The sequence below is a fragment of the Homo sapiens genome, chromosome 13, assembly GCF_000001405.40.
Source record: "Homo sapiens chromosome 13, GRCh38.p14 Primary Assembly".
Classification (NCBI taxonomy): domain Eukaryota; kingdom Metazoa; phylum Chordata; class Mammalia; order Primates; family Hominidae; genus Homo; species Homo sapiens.
In genome coordinates this window covers 112050675-112065735 of record NC_000013.11, presented here as the reverse complement: position 1 = coordinate 112065735, position 15061 = coordinate 112050675, and the positions used below count along the sequence as shown (strand labels likewise).

Sequence of the window (15061 nt, the reverse complement as noted above, 5' to 3'; positions counted from 1 at the left end):
GCAGTCTCAAGTAGCATAGCGCTCACACTACCGTTTCCACCAGACTGATCTGAAAGTGGTCCAAAGACGACTTTTGAGCCCAAGTATTCCTCCTCTGCCCTCCCCGAGGCACCCTGAGATGAGAGTGCTTGTGGAGATTGGTGGTGGGTAAAGTAGAACCTTCACCGCATGTCACATGTCTGCCTGTCTTGTAGTAGGAATATTCAGTAAAGATGATGATAACGGTAATAGGAGTAATAGGATGTTTGAGTCTGTTGGGCAGCGAACACGTGACACCTTTTTTTTCCTCTTAAAAAAACTTCTGAGGTTGTGAATTTCTTGACCCTGTTGCTTGTCCAAGGTAAAAGAATAATGCTTTATTTCCTCTCAATTGCTATGATTATTACTGTAGGGTTTGTTTTATTATTGCAGGGTTGCTACAGTGTGAAGTGCAACAGCAAATTGATCTCTCTGCAGATTAAACTGCTTTCATTCCAGGCCATTCAGCATTTACTAGTAAATCCATCAAGTAATATATAATTATATTAGAAAGGGAACATCATTTTATATTTATTTTTTCACTAAATATCTAGGTTATAAACTGGGCTTCCAACTACCTTCTTATTTCACCAGTCGAGTTTGTTAAATCTTTTGATTTGTTACATGCACTACCTACAAATATCAGTTACATTGTGAATGAACAAAAAAGGAGCAATAATATTGTTTGGGAATGCTATAGCCCCATTTTTTTCTTTGATAATTTAGGAGGCAATGGGTGTGCAGTGAGATCCAGTGTGTTATGGAAAGTCAGCAAGACTGAAATAAAGGAAATGGTTTACAAATTATAAACTATATTATCCACTTAGCAGTTGAAAGATTTCTTTCCTCTGCTTTTCAATTTAGAGTTTAAACTAAATAGCTTAAGACTCCCTGAAAATGCTTTGTATGAATCAGGCTTGGCACATTATTTTCCATATCAATGGAGCAATTTATTTTATAAACACCCTGCACTCCAGTGTGCTTTGCAGGAATGCTTTATGCTTTGGGGAACTTGGATAGCTGACTTTGAAATGGTCTACTTTTTTTCTACCATAGTCCCGAAAATTGTTTCCAAATACGACGTTACCCTTGTTTTTCAGAGCATCTAAATAAGAGGAAAATGGTTTAGCATCCTGTGAGCTCACACTAGTGCTCAACGTTCAGGGTGCTCTCCATAAGCCCTCTTCAGTGACGAGATGTTCCCTAGGCCCAAGCGGCTGCACGCACTATGTGTGGCCACCTGCATAAGTATTAAACCAAAGCTGCAGGTGTAACTTGTTGCCAAGCGATAAATGATTGGCAGCAGCAGGCAGTGCCAATTAGGCAGCACAGGGCACTGCATGCTAGACCTCTGTGCCTTCATTCCTGGCATGAGGATTGACGAGCATAATATTAACTCCTGCTGGTGATCGATGGCTTCTGGAAGCCTCAATTTCTTGCTCCTTCTAAACTCTTTCCTCAGTGACTCTTTAAGAAGAGAGAAGACAGTCCAAAACCAGTTTGAAAAGCACCTCCTTCTCCCTTCTACCTCCAGCCAAGTTGGCAGTTACCTCCTTCAAACCCAGTACTTTCCCAAAGGCTGGACTCCTGGAGATTTGAACACTGACTTCCCTATTCCCAAGTAATGTAATAGGAAGTCTAGACCCCCAGGCACAGGGTTACTGTCACTGTTGATTGACCAAACTTGCTTTTTTGGCAGCTCAGAAACTTCATTGTGCCTCTTTGCTCAAAATGCCAAAGCGAAGATCAACTTAGAAATGTGGATAAAGACACTTTCTATTGTTGTATGTAACCTGTGGTCATAATCTTCAAAGCCAATCCAGAACCAAGCCATCCCTAGAAGTTACACGCACACATATATGCCTGTATGTATGTGATAGGTTAAGCCATTATGCAAGAAACCTCAACTTTCAAGTAAATTGAGTGCTGGACTGTAACACCATTAGCTTAAACTGTCTGTATGGAATAATTAGCACTTTTAGCTTTTGTCCCCCTTCCCCGCTCCCGCCCGCCCCCCAGCATGAAAGCGAGCTTTGAGGCATCTAGAGGTGGATTTTCTGGCCCAGTGTCAGTCCCGAGTCCCAAGCAAGGAGCACGATGGACAAGCTAGGAGTTCTACGGGACAGTGAAAGAAGACAGAAACTCTGCCCTGTCTTTCGTGGTCCTGGTGAAGTCGACCCGTCTTGCTGACACTCTCCAGGGACATGTGGCCGCACCACAACCGGTTGCCCTCCTGGGTTCAGCTCCTACGGCTTCTGGGGCCGGTTGGAGGATTGAGGCCATGTGTAGGTGCCTCCCCGGATCTCCGAGGGGCTCAGGCTTCCGCGCTCTGGTGTCGCCCCAGAGGGCCGAGGCCACAGTTAAAGGAGGCAGATGAAGAGGAAGCCGCTAGTTTCCAGGCGGAGCTTTTGAAAGAGACAAGAGTAGTCAGAAGGAGAGGAGGAGAAGGCGGAAAAGAAAGCGCGGGAGAGAGAAGAAGAAAGAGCCATTCAAATTGGAAGAGGCCTTCGAGGCCATCTCTGCCAACAGGAGGCGCGGAGCGAGGGCGAGGAGGGAGGGGAGCGCGACGGTGGGGACCGCGCGGGGGCGGGGCGGGGGTGCTGGGGACACCGCAGCGAGAGGAGGGCGGGCGGAGAAGGCCCGGTTTCCTCCCGCGCGGAGCCATGAGGGGCAAAGAGGCAGCGGGCCCGGCTGCACGGCTCCGGCCCGAGACCCCGCGGCGTGTCTGCGCTGGCCGTGCCGTGGCGCGCGCCTCGATCGCCGTCTGCTGGCCGCCGCCGCCCTCGCGGAGACACCGGGGCTCTCCGCTCTCTGCCGCCTCTGCGCCCCTCACTCGCTCTGGCAGCCAGAGGCCTTGTTCGAGGGCCTGGAGCGCGCGTTCGGGTGATGGCGCTCCAGGGCGCTCGGGTGATGGCCAGGGGGCTCTTGAGGAGTGCTCCTCTCTCTAGGGTCCCTGGGCGCTCTGAGTCCATCATCTGCGCCCTGGCCCGGGCTAACTTGGTTCCACTGTTCCCAAACAAAACCAGAGAAGCCAGAGTAGCACAGAAGTTTTTGTTGGTGGTGGTTTGGTTTGGTTTTGAAGGAGGAAAAAAAAATAATAACAGCCCAGGGAAAGGGGGTGTGTGGAAGGAGAACGGAAAGAGAGCCCTGGCCATCAGGGATAGCAGCAGAGCTGTCTGCGTGCCGGCGCACCGCTCTCTCCTTTGCCTGACTAGGCGTCCTAGTTTGGAGGCCGTTCCAGTAGCGTTTGCGGGGAAGGGTCAAGAAACTCCTTCTCCTCAAAAGCGACCCAGGCTTTCTTTCGGGCGGTTCGTGTGGAGAGCCGCACATTCACAATCGAAGAACAAACAACTGTGTGTGTGTATGTGTGTGTGCGCGCGCGCGCACGCGCGCGTGCTGTGTGCCTCCGAGCTCTCTGGGTGAAAGCATTTGGAGAAGCTCTGGGAGCTTTGGAGTAGGGGCTCACCCTGTGAGCAGTACTCACACATATAATTCAAATTTCACAGCTGACCTGCTCTGAAAACCTCAATCAGCTTCTAATTGAAGGGAAAACAAAATATTGCTTCCCTACAGCAGAGCTAACGATTTAATCATTATATCAGACATTATAGCTTTTAATTAGGCTAATGCTGATACTGTATGGAAAGAGATAATTCAACACAGTTCTTGATGAATTCTGTAATTGGGTTAACGGCAGAGCAGTTGGGGGAGAGACGTCAATATTCAAGCTGCGTCTGTAGCCACCAGGTTTATGAATGAAAGAGGAGACAAGGGGAGGAAAAAGGCTGGAACCAGAGCGGGGCATTGCGCCCTCCGCCCCACGGAGCTACGGGCGGCTCTGGAGAGAGGCGGCGGGAGACCCGAGCAAAGCTGGGAGGCCGCCGGATGCCAGACCTCTCGGGCCTCGCCGCTGAGCACCGGCTTTTCCTGCCGCTCGGCCTGCCCGGCCCTTCTTTTGTGGGAAACTTTCCGAGAAGACTCTCTGCTGGGCCTACCTGCCCTGTACGCCCCGGCACGGGAGTATTTCTGCGCTGTTCCCACCCAGCCCAGCTGGCGCAGATGTAGCGCGCAGTTCTGTCGGGTGGCTCTTAAAGACGCGAGCTCTACCTGGGCTTCCACCCCTCGCCAGGTCCGAGTGCCACTCAAACGGGCACAGTGCCCCTGGCCGAGGGCAGCCCTAGTTGGTCCTCAGCGCTGTGGGCACGGCGGATGCGCCGAGCGCCCGGCGCCTCAGGGCACCACAGGCTGCCCATACTCTCGAGCTCACAGTGATGACTGCGGGGTCGGCGGGAAACGGTGCTTGGAGGGGGCGCCGGGCCTATTGCCTAGAGGCCTGGACCCGGTGGCCTAGGCTGAGCCGCTGCTGGGCCCTGTGGCTGCATCAGGAAATTGGCAATTAAACCGCCGGGCCGCTTCTCTTCCTCTCCTGTCGCTAAGGGTCCTGGAAAAGAAGGAGGAAGCAAAAGGCCGTTCGCACTCGCCTGCGGGAAGTCTATTGTGCGAGAGAGCAAGAGTGACCCCTCCTCTCACTCCCCAGTCTCTTCTTGCCAAGTAGGGCCTGAGCCACAGGCGGTTTCGGGGTCCCCCGGGAGCCGCGCCTGGCCGGCTGCGTCGTCCAACCTCTGGCTTCGCGTGGCGGGTGCACGCCCAGAGCGGCTGCCGGCTGGGAGCGTTCCCCTCCCTCTTCTGCTGCCCAGATTTCTAGGACCCGCAAAAGTTATGCCCAAGTGGGTGAGGAGGCAAGAGGCGGAGCTGAGACTGGACCCTGCCAGAGGAGATGGTTCTCGAGCCTCGGATTTTGAGGAGAAAATGCCTGTGCCTTTCAGATTTGGTTGAGTTCTTTAGAGAAGTCGCCTAAGCTAAGTCTTCCGCGGTTTTAACCCAAATGGTTTCAGGGTGTGATTTTTTGCACTTTTTATACTTCTGCGCTTCCCTTTTAAATTTTTGCTCTTACTCTTTGGTTTTACCACATCAGCGCAATATTCTCCTTCAAGATAAATATACCGTGTTGTGATTCAGCCTTGTCTTATTTTGTCAGTAATTACGGCAAAATTAAATGGGTCACTGCTAAAGTTTCATTTACACAAACCCCCGTAATTAACAGCTTGAATACACCTTTTTACGTTGTACAAAAGTTGTAATTTTCTAACGCATGTTGTTTTTTATTGACGGAGAATGCTTGTGTTCGATGCCATCCTGAGCACACAAAGCACCTCCTCTGAGCACTAGGTGTGTTTTGTTTCTGTAATAGTGTAAAGAGCCGGTACGAGATCAGACTTTTCTGAATCTGGGGTAGCTTCATAACCACTCCCATTAAAAACTGCCGATTATAAATGTCCAAGAGTGCAGGACATCTGACTAAACTGGGAAAGCCGAAATTCTGGGGAGAAACAAACTGGTCTGGCCTGTTACACCCCCACTCCTGCTCCCCGGAGTGTGGAAGAGCAGGTGGGATTTGACATTCTAGGGCTGCTGTAGTGTTCACTCTGCAGGATCAAAAACAGCGTTTTAGGCCAGTGCAGGGACCAGCTTAGTCTCAGCGAGCCAGTGACCAGGGGCTGCCTGCAAGCCAGTGCAGCAGCTATGAGTCAACAGGCCTTTCCTCCATCCTCTCTCATTAGCCCTCAGATGGAAAAGGCATCACTCACAAGAGGAGACAAGTCATAGGGAATTTCTATATGAAAAGAAATGAAGTGAAATCAGAGATGCTTTTTCTTACAGGCCATCCCTGTTATTGCAAATTAGATTAGCTACACAGGCTTCAATATAAACATGACACGAGGTTCACACGAGTGAAAGGACCATCCACTCCAATCTCTGCTTTCATCGAAGCATCTCACATAAATTACATCTTGTCCTTTAATACACTTTTCAATGAGATTAAAACATCACTTTGACACAATTTCAAGCCCTTTCAGTCGCATGGGTTGCTTACTTCAGAAAACAGCAAATGGGGAAAGTGGTTCTGTTTAAATCTTCAGGCTGTGGGATGGGGCTTTAACGCAGCGCCAGTGCCCTGCACGCTGAGCTAATAGAGGGCCTCTTGGCCCCATTTGAATGCCATTTATCTTACCTCGAAGAGACAGAAACCAGCTGTCCTGTGAGCAGAAATCAGATTTCCCTCAGGTTGGGTGGAGGCCTGTGACTACCTGGGCACAGGGCCTCTTTGGAAAGCACATTTGTATTAGAGCAGCATCCTTCGGACGGGGGAACGGGAATGGCCTGCGCTGACCCTGAAAGGGTCGGATACCCCACAGGACAGACACTAGCTTTAGGGAGAGAGTGCCACCTAAATGAGATAGGGGAGGTTTGGCAGATCAGGCAGAGAAAGAGCCCTGTTTTGGATGGTGCTTGACCCTAAATCTCAACTTAGAGGCAGTGAGAAGAAGTGGGCAAACATAGGTGAGTTTTCTGCTAAACCAGCTAAAGGGAGATTTGCACCTCTTCTTGCCAGCAGAAACACGCCACTCTGACTCCCCAGGGGCCACCTGTCCCTTCATGGACTGACTCCTTCTGGACTGGCTCCCATGGCTCTGGGGAGTGGAGGAGCCCCACCCAGACAAAGGACCCCATCGGGCGGCAGTGGAGGGGTGTGTGGGTTTCAGGGTAGGGGTTCTATGCATTTTCATTATTTTCAGCTGTTTACAATTATGCTCAACGCTCAGAACACACAGGCAGATTTGCTTCTGGAGTAGAGGCTGGTTACAGCCTGCCTTCTCAGGTGGTGTATCCTCTGCCATCAGCCAGGTAGGCACAGGAAGGCTCGCCACTTGGAGCCTCTTCCCTCAGACCCAGCACAGCCAAGGCAAGGTTTTCGGGGCCTCCTCTTCCTTGCGGGGAGGGAGACTAGGACCAGCAAGTCCAGCCGCCCAGGTGCCAGCCCCCTCCCTTCCCCAACCCCTTTCTCTCTGCCTCCGTGGCAGCCTCCCCACAGGGCTCCATCCGTTTCCATGACATTGATAACAAGATCCTAGCACTAGGCCATCTGAAGGCTCTCTCTTCATCCTTACAGGTACGCATGCCATCTCCTGTGTGCCTGCCTGCTTCAGCCCTGCCACCTGGCCTGCGTCGCATCCGGGAGATGTGCTAGCAGGGGAAGAAGCCTGGTAGGGCCCAGGGGATGTGGGTGGCAACGGAATTGCTTTCCTCCTGGATCCCGGTTTAACCACCCTTCCAAATCAAGCGGAGCTCCTCGGGGGACACCTGCCAGTTGTTGGAGACTTCCCCCTCTGCTGCGGGCGCTCTCTGCATGCCAGGCCCTAGGTGCAGGGGAGGAGGCCGGGGTAACAAGACCATTGTCCTGGGTGGGGAACGGAGCAGGACTCCTCTTTCCACCCCAGCGGGAGGGAAAAGCTGCCCTCCCAGCCGCCTGGGCAGCCCCGCTGTCCGCCGCTGCGGTGACAGGGACTTTTGGGGATCTTCTGCGCCAACTGGGGTACCATCAGGGCAATTCCCCCAACCCCGCCTTTCACAAACGAGCTTCCAGAACGCAGGCCCCACCGCACTCCAGGAAATCGATGTTATAAAGCGAGCTTTTAATGCCTTAGTTGACTGGCGGCCGCTATCGCGTTCAAACACCTGTTTCCTGCAAGGGGAGGCGGCCAGCCGGGTCCCTGCTCGGGTCGATGACTGCCAGGCTTGCCCCGCCCTGCCCATTGACTCCCGCACCAGCCACCGCCGAAAATCCATTTCACCTTTGAAACTTCGTGACCTTTCCTCTCCACGGGAGGCTCAAACCCGCGGAAAGAGGGAGCGGAAGCGGGCGGCTCCGCGGCGCTGGTGGGGGAGACTCCCAGCTGCGCAGACCGAGAACCTAGGCACGCGCGGTGCTGCAAGAGGAGGCAAAGCGGGTGTGATTTCGCTGGAGGAGGGAGGACAGGCGCACGGAGCTGTGCGCCCGGGCGGGGTTCACTCCTCCTAGGGCGGCCCGCTCGGATCCCACCTTGGGGCGCCCTCCTTTGGGCGTCGGATCCCACCTTGGGGCGGCGAGACTGAGGCGTGAGCCGCGCTGGTGGGGCTCTCGGACGGGCACCGGCAGCTCTGCGAGTCCAAGGCTTGCGGCTCATTGCTTTTTTTTTTTTTTTTTTTTCGGTAGCAGAATTAATACAGTCAAGCCCGTCGGTCAGTCACAGTTAAATTGATTCTTTGCCCAAAACACCTCTCACTAAATGGCACACGCTTCAACATGTTAATTTTTAAAACGTAATTTCAGCCCGCGGATTTAGTTCTCGGCGCGGCCGGGTGTGCACCGGGGAGAGCGCAGCCTGGCGCTGCCGAACGCGAGGGTGGGGGAGCCGCGAGGGGCGGGGAGGGGGCGCGGAGCTGTGGCGGACAAGAACCTCTCCCCCAAATCCACAGACTCGACCTCCCTCCCCCCTCCCCAAAAATGGCGACCCAGAGAGAAACAGTCTGGGTCCGTTGGGCGGCGGCCAATCCCAAAAGCCGAGGATGGGGGAGGAGTGAACGCACAGATAAGAAAATGACAAATGTGCCCCGCGGCGAGTCCGCTAGCCGTGGCCACCACATCTACCCACCTGTTCTTTCCTGGGGCCCCAAAGCTGCGGAGACACCCCATCCTCCTTCACGGAAAGTCACCGTGGAGACACCGCGCCCCTCTCCCGAGAGCCTTTACCGGCCAGCTCCGCAGCCCCGGGCGGGCTGAAGCCCCCGCGCAAGTTCGAGACACACTTACAGTTAGTTCCTCCTCCAGCTCCAGCGGGTCCCCAGGGCGGGTCCGGCACGGCCGCGCCCCTAACGCTCTGCCCACGGGCACCTCCCGGAGCCCCGACTCATTCCGGACCGGGTGGCCAGCGTGCCCAGCGCGACGCAGATCTCGGACCCCGGTCCGGCCCGGCTCCGGCAGCGCCAGCCCCGTAGCCGCGGGCGCCGGTGCCACGCGCACGCACACACACGCGCACACTCACACGCGCACCCCCGCTAGCACACTCACTCGCACACGCGCCTCTCTCCTCGCCTCGCGCGCGCGCACACACACTGCAGGCGAGAGAGACAAGAAAATGAAATTTATTATTGATAGAAAAGACTTTAAAGACAATTTCAAGTTATTGTTTCTCTCTGGAAAAAGGAGATCCCTCCACATAATGAAACGCCTTTTGTGTGGCGCGGAACAATACCAAACAAGTATTCTAATAAATAGCCACTTTTTTGTTCCTACTCGACAGTGAATAGAATCGAGCAGTTGGTTTGCGAGCAGCTGGGACGCCGTTTTGAGCTGGGAGGTGGAGCCGCGTCTCCCGTCCTCCTCTCGCCGCTCCCCAGTCCCCTCTCCCCTGCGTCCCCTCCTGCTCCCCGCTCCTCTCCCCATTCGCTCGCTCTCGCCTCCCGCCGCGGGTCCCCCTCCCGCGCCCCCGCCCCCGCGTTCCGGCCTGGCCTGCGGGATTCGGGCCGAGGCAACTGCAGGGACGGGGCACCCCTCCTGCTCCCCTGCGCCTCCGTCCCGAGGGACTCGGAAGTCCAACCCCCGCCCCCCCAAAAAATAGTTGTCAATTCTGTCATCACAGAGGGCTGCCTATTTTCGCCTGGAACTACCACCCGGACCTTTTCTAACCCCCGGGTGGGAGGATGTCACCCCCCTCCCGTCCCGTGTCCACCCGGTCCTTCCCTGGGGTTTTCCGCGCCGCGCCCCCACTCCCACCCGCGCCGGTCCCCGCGCTGGGCTCTCTCCTCCCGCGGACAGCGCCTCAGCTTTGTTGGCTCGCAGCGGGGACACCGTGGCCGTGGGCGCCGCCGCGCGAGGCCTCCCCTGGGAGCAGCTCCGGCTCCCCCCCCCCTTTTTAAATATTGCTCTGCGACGGGCTCCTGAATTCGCCCCCATCCCCACACTAGTGCCCTCACGACTGACGGCAGCTGCTGAACGAAGCAGTGTCTAAGGATTAGTGTTGTGGACACAAAGCTCTCCAGGTAAACGTCCCTCGGCCAGGCGGCCCCGCGTTCCAGGCACGCACTGCGGGAGGGGAGGCCTGCGGGGCTGTGCGGCGCTCCGGGGTGGTGCGGCCACCCCTGCCTGGGTCGCGGACCCTCGCGGCGCGCTGTCACTCCCTCTGCAGGCGGAGCCCCAGCCTCACCTCGGAGGACCTAGTTGCCTGCCCTCCCTAGCGCGGGGCTAGCCCACGCAGAGCCGAAGGCGGAGGAGGAAATGTGTTCTGTGAGGCTCCTGGGCTGGAGCCACACTTGTTTCTCGGGGTCTGGGTCTCTGTCTCCACCCTCCCTCTCTGCCTCCTCCCCACAGTTGAGTGAGGCTGTCAGCACTTCGGACTTAAGACCACCACCCTTGAGACTCCCTGCAAATGTATCACAAGCAAACTCACTGCTTTTTTGAAAATGACGACCCCACGTTTGCCCAGAGGATTTGTGACCCCCTCACACCCAAGGCAATATGTTTACCAACATAAAAAAAAAAAAAAGGACGCACAAGTCCAGCACAATCGAAAGACAGTAAGGGCGTGCCAGCCCTCAGTGTCGGTGCGGGGCGCGCGGACCCACGCACACATCTCCCCCGGACAAACGCAGGGTAATTTTTTTTCCATTGTCGGCAGCTGCAGTTTGCAGGAGATCCTTGTCTGTCTGGCTCTAATCTCGGAGACAAAAACCCCACATGACTTCACTCGATGGATCTTAATCTAGAGAAACACTATGTCATTTGCAAATTATTTCTTAATCGGACTAAGCTATTTAGAAGTGCGAGTGGAGGAGTGAGTGTTTTGGAAGCCGCCAGAGCTCAGATGTTGACTAGGAACACTCTTCCTAGCAGCCTCGCTTTCCCCCAAAGGCACGTTGGTCTAAGTGTCAAAAGCAAAATTAAGCAGGTACGTTTCTTTACTTGGGGATTTTTAAAAAATTTACTTTTGAGAAACTGTATTCCCTTGGAGTTTAAGGCAATTTAGTTCAGTCCTCCAAGATGCTGGTAACAAGAGGAAGTTGGTCCTTGACATCTTTAAAAAACCGGGTTTGTGCAGGAATTTCGTGGCGGGAAACGCGGAGACACGTTGGAATTGGACCCATTCCAGCAGGCTCCTTGAAAGCTTTTTCCTTTTGTATGGAAAATGGAAACATTTTGGAATCCAGATTTAAAACTTTGACTTATATTTTACATGTTAAGTCGCTGAAAGATTGGGTACAACACTGCATAAACCTTCAAAACCTGCAAATATTTGAATGGTTTTTGTAAGCGGAGCAGCTGCCAGTCAGCTGGCTTTGACAGGCTGCCACAATTTTGTCACTTAATAGCGGGTGTTAGGCTAAGTGCAAAACACTCTGGCAAACAGATGTCAAACCCGTATCAATGGGGGTTGTGAAGTGGAGTTTTAACCCACATCGGGGTCTCGCGCACGGAGCCAGTGTGTACACGGTACACAGCGCAGCGAAGGCGAGCGCTCCTAAACGTAGTGGCCTCGCCCGGGGCGCTGGAGACGCGACCCTGAAATTCTGTAAAACCGAGGCTGCTCCTCTCCCGCCGAGACAGAGGAGAAGCAGGGCCAAGGAGCCTTGCAGGGCATGGGGGTGTGGACCCACGTAGCTGCCTCCAGCCCCGCTGCCGTCCTGCGTCCCGACCCGCTTCGCCCGCAGAAGGTGGCAGCTCTTTGCCCAGGCTGGCGTGCAGCGGCAGGCCCCAAGCGCGGCCCCGCGCCTCCCTCTTTCCGGCTTGCTGTGGGCGCTGCCCCCTTGTCCACCGAACTCGGCCCCGGGCAGCGAGGCTGTCCTGCGGCCTCAGTGGTGAGAAGGCGGAGGCGACAAATAAAAAGACTCTCTGTCCGAGCAGAGCCGGCAACCACGGCCCAGGTCACCCAGGTGTCTGCGGCCGCGCCAGACCCCCGCCAGGCCCAGAGCCAAGTGCAGAGCGTGGCGGCACCGGCGCTTTATTCCCTTTGCCCACAGCCGGCCGTCTGGGTGGAAACTGGCTTTTCCTCGTGGTTTGCAAGAGGAAGTGGCCCAGGAGCGCGGGGTCCTTGCGCGGCGAGGCGGGGAGGGCGGACGCTCAGAAGACCGTCTTCTTTGTTTAGGCACCGGAGGCGGCCCCTGGGGCACTGCCCTCCCTCTCCCAGGCAAGGGTCCTCCCCGAAGGCCTGATCTGCCCCTTTCGCCTGAAGGACTGGAACTCTTAAGGGCGGCGGCATCAAAAAAATGACCCCAACCCCCTGCGGCTCGCGGGATCCTGCGGCCTTTGTGTTTCTCGTGCTGAGAACGATTTACGCCCGCGCGTGGCTGCGGGGTGAGGTCTCAAACATTCTGCTCTGCCGGCAAACCAGTGCCACGGGGGATTATTCTGCACGAAGAATATCTGTTCACTCACTCAGAGCTTCCGTCATCCTTGAAATGTCTTCCCAAATTTTCACCTCTTGATGATGTCTAACTCCGACACCAACCGCACATGGGAACAGGAGGCATCCCATGACTGATCCCACATCACAGCAGATCACTGGTTTTCCGATTTTTACAACGTGGATTGCATTTGACTTCGTGCTTAACTCACACTTCTCCTTTTCTTTGAATAACCATCATACCAACTCTTCATTTTGGGAACTTAAACTTGTGGCTGGAAGGCCAAAACGAAGCTTTGGATTTTACTACAAAATGTGATGAAAGGCAAATTTGTCCTTATGTAGATTAAAAGAATTCTCAGAGCTTTCTCTTGAGGACAGCGATTTCATTCGGCAATGCATATTCCTTCATGATAGGTATTTGGCAACTGATTAGGAATCTTTAGGCTAGTATTTACTTTATAATGAACAAAAGTCAAAACACTAATTTTAATTTGCTTCACTATAAGCTCAGCCTGAGACCATTTCTGTGTCCCATGAATGCACACACAGTTAATAAGTGCTTATTTGTTTCTTATAATAATGTGTGTGTCTTATATTCTCATTGATGGAATACAATCAAAGCATAATTTAATGCCCCCCAAACCCTCTTAAAAATATACAGAACAAATATTCTCCTGCCGGGGGGGGGGGGGCTCCAGAGAACTAAAGCTTCTCTGTGCCATTAATTTTAATTATATCTTAATGGAAAATCAGATGTTTAAAAGCAGTTTCCACAGGTCTATAGGATTCATTAATTCTAAATGTACAGAAAAGAATGTATTTTCACCTTCCGGCTAAAGTTCACTATTTTCCCACGTAAAAGTATCTAACCACAGAATTTTGCTTCGTCTCCTACCGAGGTGCATGTGCCGTTCAGGAAGGTGGGGGTTGACTGGAACAGATGTCAACTCCAGCAAGCATCCCTGCCCGGGCTCGTGCAGTGCACTGGATGTCTTATTTCAGCTGTGAGGTGGAACTGGGCCTAGGTCTTTTGAGGGAGGGGCAGGGAACAATTGCTCAGGGCAGATGTGCTGTGCGGATGTGGCGGAGGGACCCCGAGATTTCAGTGTGGAATTGTGGGGTGCAGCTGTGCAACCCCGGGAGGGTCGGGCCTCATGGTGCGGGAGCTTGAAGGATGAAGAGGATGCAGCTAGAAGGATCATGCTCTCATCACAGGTGATTCCAGGGGTGAGATAACTTTCCGAAATCATCATTTGTGGTGGAGGGTTTTTGTTTTTTGTTTTTGTTTATTTGTTTGAAATCAGCTAAAGCCGAGTATGACCTTCACATTCAGGCATCATTTGCTTATCATCACCCAGGGCAGTGGCTTTCACGTTGTTGGAATTGACTTCATCAAAAAAAATTATATAACTTGAGATTCTGCTTACCCATTCTTTATTAGAAGCAGTAATTTCACTAAAGCGGTAATATTTTTCTATGCAGTTTATCCAAGGACTTAAGCTGAACCAACTGATGAGCCATAAAATAATGAATTTCACAGGTTTGTTGAATTTCTGTACTTATGTTTAACTGAACACAAGCTTCCCTCTCATGTTCTCCTGCCCCATTCTTTTTTCTCAACACTCAACCTCTGTAGTAAGCCAGATGCAATTAGAATGGAATGTACAAATTGTTGAATAGGAATACAATTGGTATATCAAAATCTTCTCTGAATCGGAGCTGACCAGGGTCAATATTTCACTTTATTCCAGTCCTTGAATATAGAAGCACAGCTGCAATTATTGAAAGACTTCACCGAAGAGTTAGATATTGTCAATGGGGTGAGTTTGAGTAATTGTCATTCAAAAGAGGAAGAGTCTGCTGATACGTGTGTGTATAATATTGTAATAATATTAGATGCTATAAAAATAAAAATAACCCATGTTATATAGGAAGAAAGGGCCTTCTCAGTCATTAATTCACAATAAAAACAAATTTCATTTGAAAAGTTAAAACAACTGTAACATTTCTAGTATTTATTGACTATGCTAATTCATAGGTGATATGCACACGAGTAGGTTAAGCCAGACTTTCCAGCCTTTAGTCAGCAGTCTTTGGAGGCAAGTCACAGCTTCGTGACCTGCAGTTGCCTGGAGCACTGGTTGGTGACTTCTCTAATCCTCAATTTTCTAATCCATAAAGTGGAGATATTAAATCCTACATGGTAGGATTATTGTGACAACTGAACGATGTCATGAATGTAAAAGCACCTGGACCTGGCACTCAAAACATCACTGGAAGACTCTCATTTTTTTCACTTGGTCTTCTTGGCAGACCCACTCACATGGATTCCCTGGCTCAAGGGGTGATGGAGAGAGTGAGGTCAGGCCAAGAAACACCTTACTTTCTTAGGGAAAACCCCAAAGGTGTGTCCAGTGTGGTGTGTGCTGTGTATCCAGCATCGCCTCCTAGCCAGAGGTCTTTGTCTGCAGTACCTTAGACCCTGATCTACGTTGACATTTCAATGTTCTCTTCCTAGTGCTTCTTTCTCAGAAGTCCTTAAACATCTCCAGTCACTAACTAAAATTCGACACTCTGTCATGTTCTGTCACATGTAACCCAACTGCCCTTTGTGGGAACAGTGGGCATATCTAAAAGTCTTATTGCTTTTGCTCATAAAGGCTTATTTATGGACCAGAATTAAAGTGCAATTGGAATACACATTTCCTATTTCATCAACTACAGGATTTGGAGGTCTTACCTCTTACTTGCTTGGGGAGTTT

The 15061-nt window shown here is 52.5% G+C and overlaps 1 long non-coding RNA gene and 1 other non-coding gene across 2 annotated transcripts in view, besides 2 other annotated features; both read right to left on the bottom strand.

Annotated features, from left to right (window-relative positions):
• Nucleotides 1-15061, bottom strand: part of SOX1-OT (SOX1 overlapping transcript) — a 135706-nt gene that overhangs the window by 42280 nt on the left and 78365 nt on the right. The gene's annotated exons all lie outside the window — the stretch shown is intronic.
• Nucleotides 9008-9737: an enhancer, noted in NCBI's record as "H3K27ac-H3K4me1 hESC enhancer chr13:112710313-112711042 (GRCh37/hg19 assembly coordinates)". NCBI's record gives its function as "activates a minimal SCP1, AML or CMV promoter by ChIP-STARR-seq in primed H9 embryonic stem cells {active_cell/tissue: H9 hESC(primed)}" and the evidence as "EXISTENCE:reporter gene assay evidence [ECO:0000049][PMID:30033119]".
• Nucleotides 11670-11870: a silencer, noted in NCBI's record as "peak2105 fragment used in MPRA reporter construct". NCBI's record gives its function as "represses an SCP1 promoter by STARR-seq MPRAs in K562 erythroleukemia cells {active_cell/tissue: K562}" and the evidence as "EXISTENCE:reporter gene assay evidence [ECO:0000049][PMID:32103011]".
• On the bottom strand, nucleotides 13598-13658 carry LOC124900341 (small nucleolar RNA SNORD44). The gene has a single exon (XR_007063953.1). It is a non-coding gene; the product is annotated as a small nucleolar RNA SNORD44 (small nucleolar RNA).